The 18,718-nt window shown below is 47.7% G+C and overlaps 2 annotated features.

The window, feature by feature from the left end:
• Positions 411–911: an enhancer, noted in NCBI's record as "H3K4me1 hESC enhancer chr14:69229661-69230161 (GRCh37/hg19 assembly coordinates)". NCBI's record gives its function as "activates a minimal SCP1, AML or CMV promoter by ChIP-STARR-seq in naive H9 embryonic stem cells {active_cell/tissue: H9 hESC(naive)}" and the evidence as "EXISTENCE:reporter gene assay evidence [ECO:0000049][PMID:30033119]".
• Positions 912–1,412: an enhancer, noted in NCBI's record as "H3K4me1 hESC enhancer chr14:69229160-69229660 (GRCh37/hg19 assembly coordinates)". NCBI's record gives its function as "activates a minimal SCP1, AML or CMV promoter by ChIP-STARR-seq in naive H9 embryonic stem cells {active_cell/tissue: H9 hESC(naive)}" and the evidence as "EXISTENCE:reporter gene assay evidence [ECO:0000049][PMID:30033119]".

Below are 18,718 nucleotides of genomic sequence, written 5' to 3'. Positions count from 1 at the left end.
TTCAGTTGATCTGGGAGGTACAGAAATCTATCTTTTTAGGGATGTGGCTCAGATATTTTCATTTTATTAAAACTGAAGTCTTAGACTCACAGGTTTCCTTCAGGCTGGAATGCTTCTGGTGTAACATAACATTCTGGGGAGTATTAGCCAGCCGCCCCCTCTTTCTGGGTCAGTACCAGGCTTATGTAATTAGAAGTCCAAAGTGGAGACGAGTCAGACAGTCAGACTCACCCAGCCAATAACCTTCCCCCGCAGCTTTCTATCTGGTCGTCACAGAATTTTTGGGCAGGAGGAGACCTTGCACCTAATGAACTCTCATCTGTCTTGTTCCAACTAAACAGCTGAACATCATGAAGACCAAAATGCAACCCTCCTGTCCTAGATGTCAAAGCTAAAGCCTAGGACCCTAGTGGTCACTCTGTACCCTTCAACTGACTTACAGACTGGGGCCCACCATCCCTCCCTACCTCCTCCAACAAGATAAACACATCCGTGACCCCATCCCTAGGGAGCCAGGGAGGGAGGGAGGGAAGGATGGAGGAGGGAGCCTCCCCGGCACAGACAATCAGAGACTCGGCCTTGACTTAGGTTGTTAAGATAGCTGCTGCCTCCCTTCTCCAGCTGGCGGGAAGCAGTGACCCAGGGAGCCTGAGCCACCTCCGGGGGAGGAGAAGCTGGCTAGGGAGGAAAGATAAAGGAGAAGGGGGAGGAGTCTGGCCAGCTCCCACCTCCCGGCTGCTGTTCCAGCCAAGTGGCTGAGCTGGAGAAAGAGAACTGATAACAGATAAGGGTCTTGCTTTCCTGTGGCCTTGTTTATACAAGCTTAGGTTCTTGCCGGCTGGTCCCTGGGGGTGGGGGTGGGAGTGGAGTAGCTATGTGGGTGGAGGGCAGTATGGGTTTCTGGACCAAGGCTGGGTTTCAGCTGGCCAAGGCCTGCTTGGCTTAGAGATTTTCCCTGTACCTCCCACCCCACCCCCACCCCCAGATTTCCTGCAAGAAGCTGGCTGAGTGGACGCTTGAGCTGAAATGCAAGGCTTTCCACACGTGGAGTTGGGGGGCATTTTACCTGAAAAGCAGTGGACATGGCAACTCTGTCTCTCACTTGGCCTCTGGGGCTCTGGGCATCTGACAAAAGATTTCTATTTCCAACAGAGCCTTGTAGTCCTATATTCAAGCGAATTCAAGAATCCCCTGCACTCTATTCCTCAGCCTCCCTGAAACAAATTGGGTCAGACTTGTGCTGTGTCTGAGGCCCTGGAAGCTGTGGAAGAGCAAGTGCCATGTGCCAGGTCCTGTGCTAGGGAATAGGGGTCGGGTCATGAACCAAAAAGACACAGTCTATGCCCTGGTGGACATTAAAAGCAAGTAAGTGAGTCTACGAATCATGGCCAAGGCAGCATATGCTCTGGAAACATGGCAGGGGATCTAATCTCTCAGGTGGTCGGGAAAGACTTTTTGGAGGGATGGCATCTAAATAGAGGATTGGGCTGGGTGCGGTGGCTCACGCTTGTAATTCCAGCATTTTCGAAGGCCGAGGCAGGTGGATCACTTGAGGTCAGAAGTTTGAGACCAACCTGGCCAACGTGGTGAAACCCCGTCTCTACTAGAAATACAAAAATTAGCCAGGCGTGGTGGTGTGTGCCTGTAATCCCAGCTACCTGGGAGGCTGAGGCAGGAGAATCACTTGAACCCCGGAGGTGGAGGTTGCAGTGAGCTGAGATCATGCCATTGCACCCCAGCTTGGGTGACAAGAGCAAAACTCCATCCCCTCTCCTGGCAAAAAATAATAAATAAATAAAAATAGAGGATTGACAGACAAGCAGGATTGAGTAGAGTCGCAAGAGACACATAGAGAAAGAGCATCCCACGCAGAGAAAACACTGCAGGGAAAAGCATTTTAGAAGCAAAAGAGACGGGGTGTTTGGGGGGAAAAGAAAGGGGCGGTGTTTTGTGGGACCCTGAGGAGGAAGGGGGCAGAGCAGAGGTAGGCAGAGGCTAGATTATGGTTGGGGGTAGGAGTGGAAGGCAGAAAGGGGACTTGGAGAGAGGAGAAGAATGGGCAGACTGGAGGACTCCAGGAAGCTTTCCTCTGCAGGAAAGTGGGAGCCATGGTCCTTTCTGAGGTATTCCTAGATGGTGACTCCTGGAGCAGAGCTTGTCAGCCTCACCTGGCTGCCTTCTGTGTCAAAGCTCAGCAAACGCTTGTGGGTTTGGGGCTCCCTCCCATGGGTGTCCTCTTGGCCTCAGCCCCACCTGTGGCAGGCACATCTGGTTTCCCAGCCCCACCTTGGTTGGGTGGAGATGACACCCTGGAGGTGTTGTCCTGGGAGGTCAGCATCTCCCAGGTAGGACAGGTGGGATGAGGGTTGAGGCTGAGCTGCAGCTTGTCCAGGGAGGGCCTGACTCCCTTGAAGCTGTCTGCAACTGCCCCCCATCTCCATTGTGCCCTCCTAGGTGGCAGTGAGAAGGATTCAGAACTCCTTGCTTAAGGCCAACCCTCCCCCTACTGCCCGCCCCACTTCCAAGTGCTCGAGTCACTCCCAAGACCCCCAGCAAGTCATCCATTTCCCCCTACTCATTCTTGTCTTTACTCCATTCCACTCAATAGTTACTGAGGCGTATTGACTCTCTGGCACTAGCACACACACCTTCATTGGGTTAGGCTCCATACCTTGGTCCAGGAAATCCCAGAGCTGGGAATATTAAGTTTAATGGGTCAGGGTACAGGCTCTAACATCAGGGTTCGAAGTCTGTAACTCAGTGACCTGGGGCAAATCTCTCCATATTTTTGCATCTCAGTTTCCTTATCTATAAAATAGATAACAGTAGAACCTACTGCATAGACTGTTGGCAGATTACATGAGAGCATTCCCATAGAAGGCTTTGTGCGTAGTGAGTGGTCAATGAATACTAATGGCTACTGTTTATGTACAGCAGCTGTTCACTTTGGGAAAAGGAAATGGTTAGGAAGGAATCTTTTTTTTGAGAAAGTAACACAATAATATTAAAGATATCTACCTTAACAGCAACTATTTTTAGTTTTAATATTCACTTCCACTACTTATTTTGAGATCATGATTAAAAAAATCCAGAAGTCTAGGGAATTTGTATGTTTTCTTTTCTTTTGATCTACTCCAGTAAACCTGCTATATATATAGACTCAATAAGTGACTGTGGGTGTGGGATCTACACCCATGCCCAAGCCTAGAGGTGAGAACCCTGGATTTGGATTCCTGTTCATCCCTGAAGTCTTGTGTGACTATGGGTATGTTTCTTAGTATCTTGGAACCTGTTTCTCCTCACCTGTTAAACGAGGATACTAACCCTCTCCATGGGTTATGAGAAGTAGCTCTAATGTGGGCAAAGTGCCCAGCATAGAATAGAGGATTAATAAATGCCAGCTCCCAGCCTCTCTCTCTGATTCAGTGTGGGGTTCAGAGGATTGTAAGTACCCAGGGGTTGGTACCACCAGGCTGGCCCCAGCCCACCTCCCACCTTCCCATACTAAGCCCTGGAATTCACCTGAGAGCACTGGGGCTCTGGCCTACTTTAGAGACTGGGGGTCAACCAGCCTCCAGTTTACTTTGCTGACACAACTGTGGGGAAAGAAGGGGACATGTGAGCTTCTTCTGGGTCAGAGAGGACCTGGGAGTGGGAGAAGGCAAGGGCGAAGCTGTTTCCTGAGAGCCCTTGTGGGTTCTACCCGTTTATGGCCAGGGTGGGCTGGCAACTGTTGGGAAGAAGGACTGTGGGGGCGTGTTGGGGGGGTGAGCTGGGGATTGCAAAGCTCAGAAAGCTCAGAAAGAGTCAGGCACAAGGAGAGAGAAGCTGTGGTGATTAAGAGAGGAGTCCATTAAATCAGGCTGGTGGGAGCAACCTGGCTGAGTTACCTAAGTCCTCCGCCACCCCCGGCCAACAAAGGGCCTTTCTCAAATACAGAAAGGAGAATATTGTATTCATAATGAGTAATCGCATATGTCTTCAGAACATTTTCAAATCAGAGCATTCTTTTACATCCATTTTCTAATTTCAACCTCACCAAGAGGCAGGGAAAGGGAGGTAATATTCCTATTTGACAAATGAGGAAATGCAGGTTCAAAGGGGTGAAGAAATTTGACCACATGCATGTAGCTGCTGAGCTGGAATGCAAACCTGGCCTTCTAGTAGCAAGGTACCTGCAACTGAAGGATCAGCAGGCATCTTCCAGGCAACTAGTGGTTTGGGTACTAGAATAATTTAGAATTTCCTCCATCTGAAAAAAATGTTAAAATAGAAAGACTGTCTGGCCCTCTTTCTTTTCCAGATTCATCGGCTTCTTTTCTGACTTGGGCATTAATCTCCATGCAGAGAAGCTCTCCTGGGGGCAGTGCCCCTCCGAGGAGTAGCAGCATCCTGTAGATGGGAGGGACTTAGGGCAGCCCTACGGAAGGATTTTCAGAGCTACTTGTTAACAGGCGACTAAGTGAGGTTGCAAAATCACGCTGTCTGCGCATCAGCTGTCACCCATAGGATTAGGGGCCTCTCCATTTAGTCTGTATCTAAGAGATCACACTAACAAACAGTGTGAATGTGAGCCTTGGGAAGGCCCCTTTACCTCTCTGGGCATCAGTTTGCTCATCTGTAAATGGATGAACTTACCTTCATTTGACTTTCTGTGTGCAGGTTGGTGGAGCAAACATTTCCGGAATTCCTGGAAACCAGTCTGTCTCTGCCATTACCAAATGGTAGCCCTGGATCTGTGGCGGTCTCTCTGGGTCATGGTTTCTTCATGTGTAAAATGCAGAGGGGTGGCTCTTTAGGGTCCTTTCAGCCCTAACATTCTCTGCAGAAGCCAGTCACCAGGCCTGGGCTAGAAGAAACTGTTGGAAAGTGAGGCCTAGGGCCGGCCTGCATGGGTCTGAACGAGGAGACCTTGTGGGTGAGCTGGGGGTGATAGAAGCCAGTGGAGGGGAAGGGTCAGGGGGAGGGACTGGAAGTTAGGAGTTGGGATTAGGGAAGAGGGAATCGAGATCCCTGGCTAACCTGTCAGGACCTTGCCCATCTATCTGGGCTATCTCCAAAGAGGTTCCTAGAGCCCGAGCCCAAGGTCCTGCCTGGGGAGACCCTCTGAGGAGGCTGGAGTCAGCTACACCCCTCTGCTCAGGGAGATGAGCCTTCTTACCTGGCAGCCTCACCTGGCAAGCTCTCTGCTCAGTGGACCTTCCCCACCTGAGGCAGGGAAGGATAGAAATCCCCCAGCTGGGCCTTGCCATAGCTAGCCTGGGGTTAAAACTAGGCTCTCTAGGCAAACAGTGTCTTTGCTATCTTGTGTTTGGAACCCAGCATGGAGGAAAGGTGGAGTCCACAGCAGCCAGTTGTGTCCAGCGCAGCCTGCTGTGTTATCTTGGTGCAGGGCAGCTCACAGGGAGGCGGGCCTGCAGATAATGGCCAAACTGTGTTCACCCCGTTCATCAGACTCCTTCCCATCAGGGCCACTGCTTTTTCTTTAAACAATTACTGTGGAGCCAGCTCCAGTCCAGCTGCTTTGGGAGACCTAGGAATGTATTCTTTCTTTCATGGACCCGGGAGAGGGGTGGAGAGGTCTTGTGGTATCCTGGCAGATAATGCAACCTGTTTCAGTCTTGCCACTCACTTCTGGCAAGCCCTGTCTCCCCTCTGTGATCCAGTGTCTCCATCTTTAAAATAAGGAGGAGAGTCCCTTTGGCCACCCCTCTTCCCCTGGCTCATGAGGACATATGGGGATACATGAGGTCTTGTCTATCACAGAGCTGTGGGTCTTTAGGGAGGCCCTCAGAAAACACCAGCTGCTGTTGTTGGTTATGGGGATCTAGGTTCAAGAAGAGCCTGGTGGTGTTATTTATTACTCATGAAGTCCTGGCCACCATGCTGATCCCAGGCGGGACGTGGTTAGCCAGTCCTAGACTGAGCAGGAAGCCAAATGAACTTCCTTTTTTTTTTTTTCTTTTTTTAGAACAATCTCAAGAAGCCTGGTGCTCTGAGCCCTCAGAGTCAGCTGATGCCCCTTGCCCAGTAGCCAGGGTAGAGGTGGGGGTGTCAGTTTCTGCATCTAGGCCCCTGAGTATTCTTGGGAAATGACGCATGCTGTCACCAGCTGTACAGGCCATTACCCGTTGAAAAAATGTGACTGTGGGGGCCATTAGCCCCAAGAGTTCAGCACCCTCTGCAGTGGGAGGGTAAGAGCTACAGAGCTTAGGAAAGGTGCCTCCTATCAGCTGGAGACTAGAGCCTTAAACTCAGAGTCTGAAGGCGGATTGCACTTCTGCTGCATGCCAGCCACGTAATCCTTAGGAGGAATGAAAGCTCTCTATGCCTTTGTTTCCCCATCTGTAAAACCAGCACTGTAAAAGAATAATACGTGCCTTGTAGGGTTGTTACAAGAAGAAAACATAATCTAAAATGTTAATGGATGGTCCTAGTAGAACATTTGGTGCGTAGAAAATGCTCAGTAAGTGAAATAGAAGGGAGAGAAGCTAGGATGTGAGTTTAAGACATGTGGACAGAGAACATCCCAACAAGCTGTCCTAATCTTGAAATGCATGAACTGAAAATAGCGTGGGCTGCAGGTCCCCCAAGCACAGACTCAATGGCATGGCTGATGACATTAGTCCAGGGCTGTCCAGCCTGGGCAACAGCATTCTTATTTGGATTAAGGGAATAGAAGTTGCAGAGTAGAAGCAGCTTCCTAGAAGGATCCACCGTCCTTCCACCGAAGCCCACAAGCAGGTGAGGTGAGCTCCTTCAGGCCCAGAGCTCAGAGGCCTTTATAGATAGGTGTGAGGAGCCAGAGTGGGTTTTGTGGTCAGAGCCCAAGGCTAGGCATGGAGAATTCTGTTTTCCTGAAGCTGGCTGTTTCGTCACCTGGGACAAATTTCCTAACCAGTCATCCCCAGGTAAAGGGGAAGGCCGCAGACAATGGGCTTTTGGCCTTCTGCTTCTGAGCCCACTGATCTTGATGTGTCATTTGACCTCTCAGCTGTGGTTACCCCTGTGGGAGATGGGGATCATAACCAACTCTCCTGGAGGAGGGTGGTGAGAATGGAATGATGCGATGGCTGAGGTCCCCGCGTGCATCTGCATGGCCAGGTGAATGAAAGGGGGTGCTGTGAAGAGCCATCTACACCTCTGTCAAGGGGCAGGGACTGGTCACCACTAGGATCTTCTCCATCCTGAACACTGCCTTGGGGAGCTTAGGTAAAGTGAATCACCCAAGGGGTAGGGAAGAGGAGAAGGCTGACTGGGAGGAAGGCTCCAGGTTAAATTTTTTGGTGCCACCTTAAGAGAAATCTGTTTGCAGCCTTAATTCATCTGTAAACCAGGCAAGTCCTACCCGCCTTCCTAACAGAAGGAGCAAATGAGAATTAATTAGTAAATGTGGCTGTCAAACTTGGTCCGTGTTATTATTAACTTAATGTGTTTGTTTAAAAGGGGGAGGCTGGCTTGCTCCAGTCTACAGGCAGGCGTGTGAGCTGCTAGCCTGCCGGCCAGGTCTGATGAAAAATCCTGTAGATTGTTTCCACATGGGAGTTTACAACACAGATAATTAGTTGCAGTGGTGGAAGGCCTTGGAGGCGAGGGATGATGGATTCTGATGATGGATTTTGCAGTCCTTGGGGGGCAGAGGTGTTCTCTAAGGGAGGAGTTGTTGTACTAGGGAGAAGGCGCCCCAGGGGCTTAGGCAACACAGCCTGAAGCCAGCAGGCAGGGTGACCAAGGGGGTGGCCCCTGCTGTCCCAGATGGTTGGGGAGGCGTGGGGAGTGCTGCACACAGGCCATGCATGTATGCATGTATTCCTGGAGCGTGCAGGTGTCTGGGGCTTTCTCACAGGCAGATCTACCGTGCTGCTCCAGAAGATACCAGATGCTCAGCCAACCCACTGCATGCACCAGCTGCATAATGTAGTGCCCACTCAGCTGGAGTGGGGGGGGGGGGGTAGGTGGAGACCAGTGTTGAAAGGATGGTTTGTAATGAACAACTTCATTTTTCTAATATGTGCTGGTGCGTAAGGGTTAGCAGGTAGAGTCTCTGCTGTAAATGACACTTGAATACACTCTGTGGCTTCAGCTTTGCCCACTTTGGTTTCATGAACTGTCCTAATCTTGGGATGCATGAATTGAAAATAGCGTGAGGTGAAAGTCCCCCAAGGATAGACTCAATGACATGGCTGATGACGTCTGTCCAGGGGTCACCCACTGACCTTTCTTGCTGTATATTGGTTTCTCATGCTTCTCAGTCCTTCCTTCCAAGGCTAAAATCATGGACTCTGGAGCTAGGCTACTTGGATTTAAATATTGGCTCCACCACTTACTAGCTGTGCAACTTTGGTTGTTTTTTTGTTTTGTTTTGAGATAGAGTCTCACTCTGTCACACAGGCTGGAGTGCAATGGTGCGATCTTGGCTCACTGAAACCTCTGCCTCCTGGGTTCAAGCAATTCTCATGCCTCAGCCTCCAGAGTAGCTGGGACTACAGGTGCATGCCCCCACATCCAGCTATTTTTTGCATTTTTTTTGTAGAGATGGGGTTTTGCCATGCTGCCCAGGCTGGTCTGGAAATCCTGGCCCCAAGTGATCCACCTGTCTCGGCCTCCCAAAGTGCTGAAATTACAGGCGTGAGCCACAGCACCTGGCCTAGCTGTGCAACTTTGGGCAAGTTACTTAAACTCTCCATGTCTCAGTTTCCTCATCTGTAGAATGGGAGTGATGATACTTTATATGTTGGTTGGGGGGATGGAATAAGTTAACATTTGTAAAGCGTTTAGACCACTGCCTAGTGCATAATAAATGCTGTATAAATACTGGTTAAACAAATGAATGAGTTCTGGTTGCCCTAAGGAGACTGGTTGCCCATGTCTCTATATGATTACCTCTCCTCTAAGCCATTTCAACACACAGTAAGAACAGTGTGTTTGCTATGCACTTAACATTCCATTTTGTAGCTCTCCCCCTATCTAGAAGCTGCCCTCCCCTGAGCACATTAGGGTTCTGTGAGCCCATTTTCCTCTTTGGGGCCCCCACATTCTGTCTGCTGCTGTGATCTTTGTTATCCGAGGTCAACATGGCGAAACCCTGTCTCTACTAAAACCACAAAAATTAGCCGGGCGTGGTGGTGGGCTCCCGTAATCGCAGCTACTTGGGAGGCTGTGGCAGGAGAATCACTTGAACCCGGGAGGCGGAGGTTGCAGTGAGCCGAGATTGCCACTGCACTCCAACCTGGGTAACAGAGCGAGACTGTCTCAAAAAAAAAAAAAAAAAAAGATCCCTCTATGTCGGGCAGGGTGAGACCAGCCCCTACCTACACATGAATCCTTGCTGTGCAGCTGCCTCCAAATGTTGGTGATGACCTTGAACTGAGGAGAGCACTGTCCCGGTGGCACGTAGGACAGGGGTACAATGGAGTGCTACTGTGTCCTTTGGAGTTCTGTTTGATGTCTGGAGTCCTTGGAGTCCCTGTGGCTATCTGCTGCTCTGGTTTTGCATGGGGTTAGGCCAGAGTCTTCTTGTATCACTAAAGGACATTTTATTGACTGTCTGCTCATTCCTTACCTACTTTATTGTGACCCGACTCATTATTTTCAGCAATAAAGATAGAACACTGTTGAAAAGAGCTGGAAAATAAGAGCTATACAGATAAGTAATTGGCAACACACTTCTCCCTGGAACCTGAGCAGACCATGTGGTTAAACGTGTGTGCAGGTGTGTTGTGTGTTTATCAAGCATCTTTAACAGGTTCACACCTTTGACATCATAATATCACTTCTGGGAAACCACCCTAAAGAAATGCTATAAAATTTGCAAGATGCTTTATGCACACAGATGTTGTACACACAGTTATTTATAAAAGAATACACTGGAAACAACCGAAATGTCCAGCATTTCATATAAGGTTATGTACAACCACGGTTGCACTAATTTTAGTGGTTTTCAACCTTTCGTAAGTTCATGAGTTGCTTGAGAAACTTACTAAGATGAAGACTCCCAGCCTCCTCCCCTAGAGATTTTGATTTAATGGATCTGGGGTGAGATCCAAAAGTCTGCATTTTTAACATACCACATATAATTTTGATGCAGATGTTCTGCAGTTCGCATTTGAGAAAACTGATCAACTTGATGGGATATTTTACAGTCATTTAAAATGATGTTTGAAGAGAGATTATAATAACATGGAGGAATTCTTTATAACTAAAAAAGTATGAAAATTGTGTATATAACTGCATCCAATTATGAAATACAACTATATAGAACAAAGCAAAAATATACAAAAATATAAACACAGGTGGTCTCAGCATGGTAGAGTTATGGCGATTTTCTTCTTTTTTCTGCATTTTCTACATTTTCCAAAATTTCTAAAAGCAAGCATTATTTTTATCATAAAAACTCATATGCCTGTAATCCTAGCACTTCAGGAGGCCGAGATGTGTGGATCACTTGAACCCCGGAATTCGAGACCAGCCTGGGCAACATGGTAAAACCCCGTCTCTAACAGAAAATGCAAAAATTAGCTGGGCATGGTGGCTCATGCCTGTAGTCCCAGCCACTAGGGAGGCTGAGGCGGAAGGCGGAGGTTGCAGTGAGCTGAGATTATGTCACTGTACTCCAGCCCGGGTGACAGAGTGACACCCTGTCTCAAAAACAAAAACAAACAAACAAACAAAACACACATAGGCTTATAATTTTAAGACAGACAGTATCCTCCTTGGAACAAATTCAAGGGCTTTAGCTTGTTCACCCTCTTTCCTGGGATTTATATGCTGAAAAGTTCCATTTTCTCTTTGAAGAGACTGAAGGACCCTGAAGCAGAGTGAGGCTGGTCTCTTCAACTTCAGATGGGCCAAACCCCTTTTGGAAGTGCCTTCACACTCAGCTTTACCTACAGACCTTTGATAAGCTTCCGGAGTTAGTGAAGGTGCATTCAGCCCTGTTAGTGGTTGTTAAGATAAAAAGAATACTTAGCCTGGGATAGCATTTTATTTTGCGGAGCTGAACTATCTTAATGTCATTCTCTTGAGGATTTTTTTTTTAGATATTACAGTTTGTACAGGACAGTGAGGCCCTGTGTCAAGATGTTGGAAATAAGGAAAACAAAGTTGTCTGCTGAGAGCTGCATGTATAATTGGTAGGTCCATCATAACAAAATTCCAAGCCTGCGTGGCTTAAAAAGCAGAAATTCATTGTCTTACAGTTCTGGAGGATAGAAGCCTGAGATCAAGGTGTTGGCAGGGTTGGTTCCTTCTGAGGGCTGTGAAGTAGGATCTGCTCCAAGCCTCCCTCCTTAGCTTGCAGATGGCTGTCTTCGCCCTGTGTCTTCCCCTGGGCTTCCTTCTGTATGTATTTGCATCCAAATTTCCTCTTCTTATAAAGACAGCAGTCATACTGCAGTAGGGCCACCCCAATGACCTCATTTTAACTTAAGTACCTCTTTAAATACCCCATCTCCAAGGAAGGTCATATTCTGAGATACTAGGGCTTAGGGCTTCAACATATGACTTTTTTGGGTGATTCCAGTCACCCTATAACGATGCATTGCTAAGTGACCGACAGTAGGACACAGAGCTGTGCAGACTCTTAAAGAGTTGGAATGGGTTCCTGACACGTCTGATTTAACTGTCAGATAGCTTGAAAAGTAAAAGTGAGAGGCAATGTGGGCTGTTTCCACTGGGACCTGATCAAGGAGGGAGAGCTTGGGCCCAGAATTGCCATCGGGCTGATCCTGGGGAAAGGCAGGTACCCCTGTGGTAGAGACAAACTCATCAGCTTAACTTGCGTCTATCCAGATCCACTTGTGGCTCTCTGACTTTCCAGTCATGACTGGGACCAAGGTCCGTAACGTGTGCAAGCCTCCCCTGGAGAAATGGGAAGAAGAATTCCCTGCGAGACTGTCCTGCCAGTCCTGAAGTCTGCTGCAAGGCAAGATTGTGAGGACGCTCGGTAAATTGCCAAGCTCTTTCTGTCCCCAGCAAGCCGACAGAGCTCTGAACATCCTCGCTCACCTGCAGCAGCCGATCATGATGCTGTTTCTGAAGGCGGCAGGTTCAGTTATACTTGGAGGAGTCTGGAACTTGAAATGGTGGCAATGACTATTAGGTTGGTGCAAAAGTAATTGCAGTAAGTGATGGTAAAAACCGCAATTACTTTTGCACCAACCTAGTAGTTGTGGCATATGTGGTGGTGATAGAAAACCTTCAGAAGGTCCATTGCCAAGGGCCTCCATACATTCTTAAAAAAAAAATGGTCAGGCACGGTGGCTCATGCCTGTAATCCCAGCACTCTGGGAGGCTGAGGTGGGCTGATCACCTGAGGTCAGGAGTTTGAGACCAGCCTGGGCCACATGATGAAACCCCATCTCCATTAAAAATACAAAAATTAGCTGGGCGTGGTGGCACATGCCTGTGGTCCCAGCTACTTGGGAGGCTGAGGCAGGAGAATTGCTTGAACCCGGGAGGCAGAGGTTGCAGTGAACTGAGATTGTGCCACTGCACTCCAGCCTGGGCTACAGAGTGAGACTCCAACTCAAACAAACAAACAAACAAACAAAAAAACAAAAAACCCCACCTTTATTTTGAAATTGACATATGCTTCATATATGAAAATTTATAAATTTGATATAGAAGAATAAAAAGTAAAAGTTCCCATTCTCAAACCCTCTACCTCTTTTCCACCACCAAAATCCCCTCCCCGCAGTGAATGATCTCTTCTGGATGTTCCTATGCTTAGACAAACATATATATAAATACTTAAAAAACCAACACACTCATGATTTAGTTCATACTGTTTGAAAACTTGTGTTTCTAACTTAATGAATGACTGTGGGCTTCTTTTCACGTCAGTTCATGTACACAGATTTTCATGTTACTTTTTTAAACTGTTGCGTAGTATACCACATAATAGATACACCATATACTATTTAACTCATTAGTGGACATTTTGGTTATTTCCAGTTTTTAAAAATGTGATAAACATGATTACAAATGAATATCTCTGCTCACGTATCTTTGAGCCCTTGTGTGAATGGATCTCTGTAGGATACATTTCTAGGCATGAAATAACCTAAGGTGATATTTGTATATTTAAAATGTTGATAGATTTTAGAAGTTGCTCTAAAAAAGAAAGCTATCAATCTACACTCCCTCCAAAAGTTTATGACAATTCCTATTTCCTCACATCCTTGCCAAGAATGAGCACTATGCCATTGTGTCCTGAAATTGTTAAGGTGTCGAGGCTGAATATTATTTTGAGTGTGTTCTTTCAATATGTTTCCAGAGATGCTTAAAATCATGATCATAAGGCCTTTTGGAAAATAGCATTTGGATCCAAGATCACAGGAAATTGTCAACAGATTTTCCAAGGAACCCACTGAGCTCTGGGAGTGTATTCAAGGGGGCCTAGGATTTTCTACCTGAACCCAGACGTTGCACCAACTCATAGAGAAGGTACACATCTGTCTTTCTTTTCATGTGAGAGGGGGAAAAATAAACAAAGACAGGTTTGAACATGTAATCACACTTGGTGCCCTTGAAACAGTTCTCTAGTTATCTATCTATCTATCTATCTATCTATCTATCTATCTATCTATCTATGTCCTGGGCCTCATCAGTTTTTCTGATTCTCTGAGTGCCCTGTAAATAGTGCTTATATGGGGTGCCTGTATGAAATGTTTAGAGAAAATCAACTCCTTATCCAGTGGTGGGGAGCGGGGAGACGGTGGAAGTAGCTGGCCTTGCCTAAGCTCGCTTACCCCTCAATCTCATGGAACACAGCAGAGGCTGGCTGCTGCCTAGTCCAGTGGGCAGACCAAGGGCCTCATTAGGGCAGCAGCAAAGCAGAGGTTCCAGAGCTATGAGAAAATGCACCTTTGATAAAATTATCCAGAATTTTGTGTTCAGAAATATCCAGAAGAAGCCATTTTAACTTCAGCATACATGTAAGTTTTGCATTTTATGAGTCTGTTATGTTTTTCTCTTGAATCACATTGCAGACAATGCCATATCTTTAGAGCTGAGGACTTCTAAAGATCTGCCAGTATCCCCTCCCGCCTCCTCCACCCACACTCATGACAGGTTAAGTGTTCTCTGAGGCGCTGGAATTTTCCAGTCCTTCATGGAGGCCCTGTCTGCTGGGATTCTAGAGATGGGGCTTTGTTTCCGTGTTCAGAAGACCTGCATTACAGGGTGGGGGTGGAGATTTCATCAGAAAGCAAGTGAAGGCGCCGGCAGTGTTGGTGCTCAACAAGATTAATTTCCTACCCACTGCAGGCTCGTCCCATCTGAATCATAGGATTAGCAGAGCAGGACGCTAAAGACCTTAAGAAGTGCTTTGTTGCTTTATATACAAAGTTCTAGAGAAAGAAGAAGAGAGAGGTATGAAATTGGAATTTCACCATCTTCTTCTTGGGCTGTAGCACATATCTGTGCCTGCAGTAAATGTAAATATGTATAACTATACATACATATATATAACTAGTTTTTCCTTGAGTTGAGTTGAAGTGAATTGAATCATGCTTGTATTCATCCTATCCAAGGTCAAACGTGTAATTTATGACCGGACAAAAGGTAAAAGCTTCACTCCTTTCTAGAGCTTCTTAATATCTGCCATTTTCATTACCTATGGAAGAATTCCAGTCCATGTTAGAGGTAAGGAAGTAAACATTTGCATTTCTACAATATACTAAGCACAGTGCCTCATTTTGCCTTCCCAACGGCACTGGGAATATTATTTTGCGACTCAAGAATCAGAGAGTTAAAACCATTTCTTCCTGAGGTTACGGGTGACAAGCAGTGGGGTCATGATTCAGACCCAGGCTGGCCTGATGGCACACCTTGCTCTCACCGCCTCCATGGCATAAGCTTCCTGGAGTCGGTCATTTCAGAAAGGAACACCAGCTCATTACTGAGTTCCAGATCTGAGTATAAACAGTAACCCCTGGTCCTGCCCCTTGAAGGCTAGCTTGGGGCTCTGCTCAGCCACCAAGTGTCAGGTGTCTCAGGAACGCCAGTCATTCCTGTGGGATAAAGTCACGTCATCCAGGGCACAGGAGCAGGCATGGAGGGACAGAGGGACAAAGCAGCCTCTGCTGTGGTCATGGGTGACATGTTTCTCAGCCTCCTCCATGGCCCAGGCTCTCCTGCATGTCCTTCCCAAGACCCTTCTGCAGCTTCTTCCTTGGGAGAGGCCCATGCCCTTCGTTAAGTCCCCAGCATGCAGCAGTCGCTGCAAAGCCCATCCATTCAGGTATTTGGTCGTTCATTCGTCCAGTGACTATTCATGGAGGTGCTACCCTGACCGCATCACCCTGGGTGCAGGGGACAGAGCAGGAATGACGGGAGACCTCGTCCTTGCTCTCCAGGAATGTATGCACAGTGGAGAGAGAAAGTCAGCAGTCACAGAGGTAATAATGCATTGACCACAGTCCTCTCAGCGTAACCATGGAGGAGGTGCTGCAGATATCTAGAAGAAACACGCACACCGAGGTCTACAGGGGGAGCTGAAGTTGGCTAGGGAAAGAAGTGTGGAAGAGCACTTATTTAATAAACCCAGCAGCCACTGTTTTAATGCTTTACAAATACTAACTCATTTAACCCTCCTAATAACTCTATGATGGAGTACTATTAGAAACCTCATTTTACATTTGAGGGGTGAAATGACCCATCCACAATCACCCTGCTAGGCACAGTCTTAGCCAGGATCCAAACACATCAGCCTATGGACAGTATTTAAAGCAGGGAGGGGAAGGGATCACCCTTGCATGAGTGCAGGCAGAGCAAAGAAGAGGCCCTAGGCTGCAGCCCGGGCGACCTCCTGTGCTAAGGGGGACCGAGTCCAGGAGACTGAAAACAGGCATTAGAGGGGTAGAGAGTCAAGAGAAGAAAGTATTTCTAGAAGGAGGGAGCAAGCACTTGGCCAAATGCTTCGGACCAATGGGGGAGGATGAGGACTGACTGAGGATTGACTGGTGGTATCATTGTGACGCTTGACAAGAGCCATTTTAGCGGGGGTCATGGAGTGCAAAGCCCAGTTTTCAAGTGTTCAAGAAAAGATAGGAGGAGAGGAGGTAGTGACTGTGATAATAATTCTTTTGTGGAATTTGACTCTAAAAGAAAGAAGCTAAGTAGGGTGATAGCCGAAGGGCGATCTAGTTCCAAGGGATTTCTTTTTTAAGAGGGAGGTAGTAAAACATGTTTGTGCACTGGGAGGAATGCCTCAGCAGAGGAGAAGCCAATCAGGCAGAGAGAGCACCCAGCACAGAGTGAGGGCCTTGGGCTACACCAGGGGCTGGAATCCAAGGTTGAGTGAGGGTGGCCTTAGACAGGTGCGTGGCCGCAGGGGCATAGCAGATTGGCTGACAGCAGATGGGCATGGTTATATGCAGCCACCTGGACACGGGCATGGTTGTATACAGGCTTTCAGTGGCAGGTCCCTGACCAGCATCTCCTCCAGAGCCTGCTAGTTTGATTTTCCCCTTGTCTTCTCTGAGATCTTAGCAGAGCCACAAAGAGAGGGAGGCAACCTTCTTCTCTGGACGCTGCAAGGGCTGGAGGGCATTCCTGGGCATTCTGTCCCTCCGGGTGTCACCAGCCTTTGCTGATTGGTGCAGGCTGAGAGGAGGGGCGCTGATGGTGGGGTTCAGCCTTGGCTGTGTTCCTGGTGAAGCTGTGAGCTGAGTGTGAGGAGAGACCTGCATCCACTGAGGGTCGTTTTCTCAAAGGCCTGTTTGGCACTTGCTCTTCAGGAGCCCTGGGGATTTGAGGACACATTCCTGCTGTCATGTGACAGACATAGTATCCACCCACTTGACACACAAAATGGCTATGAACCCCATTCCAGCAAGTTTATGTAAAGTTACCTCACGGAATTTCTTTCTCCTTTTTTTTTTTTTTTTTTTGAGATGGAGTCTCGCACTGTAGCCTGGGCTGGAGTGCAGTGGCGCGATCTCGGCTCACTGCAACCTCTGCCTCCCAGGTTCAAGTGATTCTCCTGCCTCAGCCTCCCGAGTTGCTGGGATTACAGGCACCTGCCACCACAACTGGCTAATTTTTTGTATTTTTAGTAGAGATGGGGTTTCGCTATGTTCGCCAGGCTGGTCTTGAACACCTGACCTCGTGATCCACCCACCTCTGCCTCCCAAAGTGCTGGGATTACAGACGTGAGCCACCATGCCGGGCCTTCTTTTTCTTTTTTAGAGACAGGTTCTCGCCCTGTGGCCCAGGCTGGAGTGCAGTGGCGTGATCATATCTCACTGCAGCCTCGAAGTACTGGACTCAAGCAATCCTCCTGCCTCAGCCTCCTGTGTAGCTGGGACCACCACCACACCCAGATCATTTAAAATATTTTTTGTAGAGACGGGGGTCTTGTGGTATTGCCCAGGCTCCTCACAAAATTTCTGATGCACAAAATTGGCCAGTTAGGGCTTTGGGGGTAATTTATACTTTTTCAAGGTTTGAATCTAAGAAATGCACAGCCTGAAGTTGGCACCTATTCCACCCTGGCTCTCCAAGGTGCACCTCTTCAGCCTAGCTGTGTTTCACAGATAAATGCACAAACAAAAAGAGGGGAGGAATGAAACTGGGAGAGCTCCGAATGCAAAATCAGGGATTTCCCATTGGGGAAAAATTCCTCCGGTTAAAAAAAAGGATTTGGGTAAATGAGGCAGACACACCAGAGGTATAAGACAGCTAGCATCCCACAGGCCTGGTTTACTTCATCAACCACTTTCTCAAGAAAAGAAAGTGTAAAAAAATAATACGTAGGTATGTATCCCCTACTCTCCCCACCAAAGAGAAATTCTGTCTGTCAATTTCTCTTTTCCCCCAGCGTATTGTAGGCTGTATTGTAAATTGTTTTCCTATAAAGTAATAAAATGTAAATGTGAGTTTTAGGTATGCTAATGTTTCGGGTTGTCCAAGCGTGAATTCCCAAACAGTTATGGGTTGAGGACCTGCGAGGAAGCTGTGAGAACCAAGGGGGTGATGAGAAGGGAAGACAAAAGTTCCCCATAGTTGTAGCTGGAGAAGGCTGGGATTTAGGAAAGATGAGATCTGATGTGAGTTGGAGGCCTTCAGGGGACACCAGAGGCAGGTAGGCCTAACAAGGGCTGAAAGCAGCAAGCATCAGGAACATTTCTCCACCACAGAGTAGAGAAGGAGGAAGCGTTTTGCTGGCAGGGGCTCAGCTCCTCACCTCTGGAAGGCTGAGACTGCAGACCCTTGCAGAAAGAGGGCTGCACTGGGCAACAGCGAAAGGCCATGGTACCCCATGGAACACTGTCGAACAGCTACCCCAGCAGGATGCTGAGAGACCTTCCAGGAGCTCATTTTTTATCAAACCCTTTTTCCAATTTATCATGGTAATCAGAGGTAGGATTCACATCAGGTGAATCAGGTGAGGATTTGCAAACAGAAATCTGTTAAAATCAAATTGATTTTGTGAAACAGGGGGTACCTGAAGCTCTGGGGGATTCATCGCAAAAGGCTTCATGAAACAACATGACTTTGGGTTTCATATGTTTGGATAAAAAATCCAGCTTTTGTTGCACTTTGAAGGAAGGCTGGGTCTGGCAGGGATTCCAGGGCAGCTGGGGAGACGTATGACAAAGGGACAAATGAAAAGCGAGGGGTATGTGAGGATGCTGGGGAACCTGCTTAGGGGACTAGACAGTAATGAAGATCCATGACATGGGAGAGAGGGTAAAACCCGGGATTAGCAAGG

The sequence above is a fragment of the Homo sapiens genome, chromosome 14 (assembly GCF_000001405.40).
Source record: "Homo sapiens chromosome 14, GRCh38.p14 Primary Assembly".
NCBI lineage: Eukaryota > Metazoa > Chordata > Mammalia > Primates > Hominidae > Homo > Homo sapiens.
Note: the sequence above shows the minus strand (reverse complement) of the source record. Positions and strands in the feature narration are given on the sequence as shown.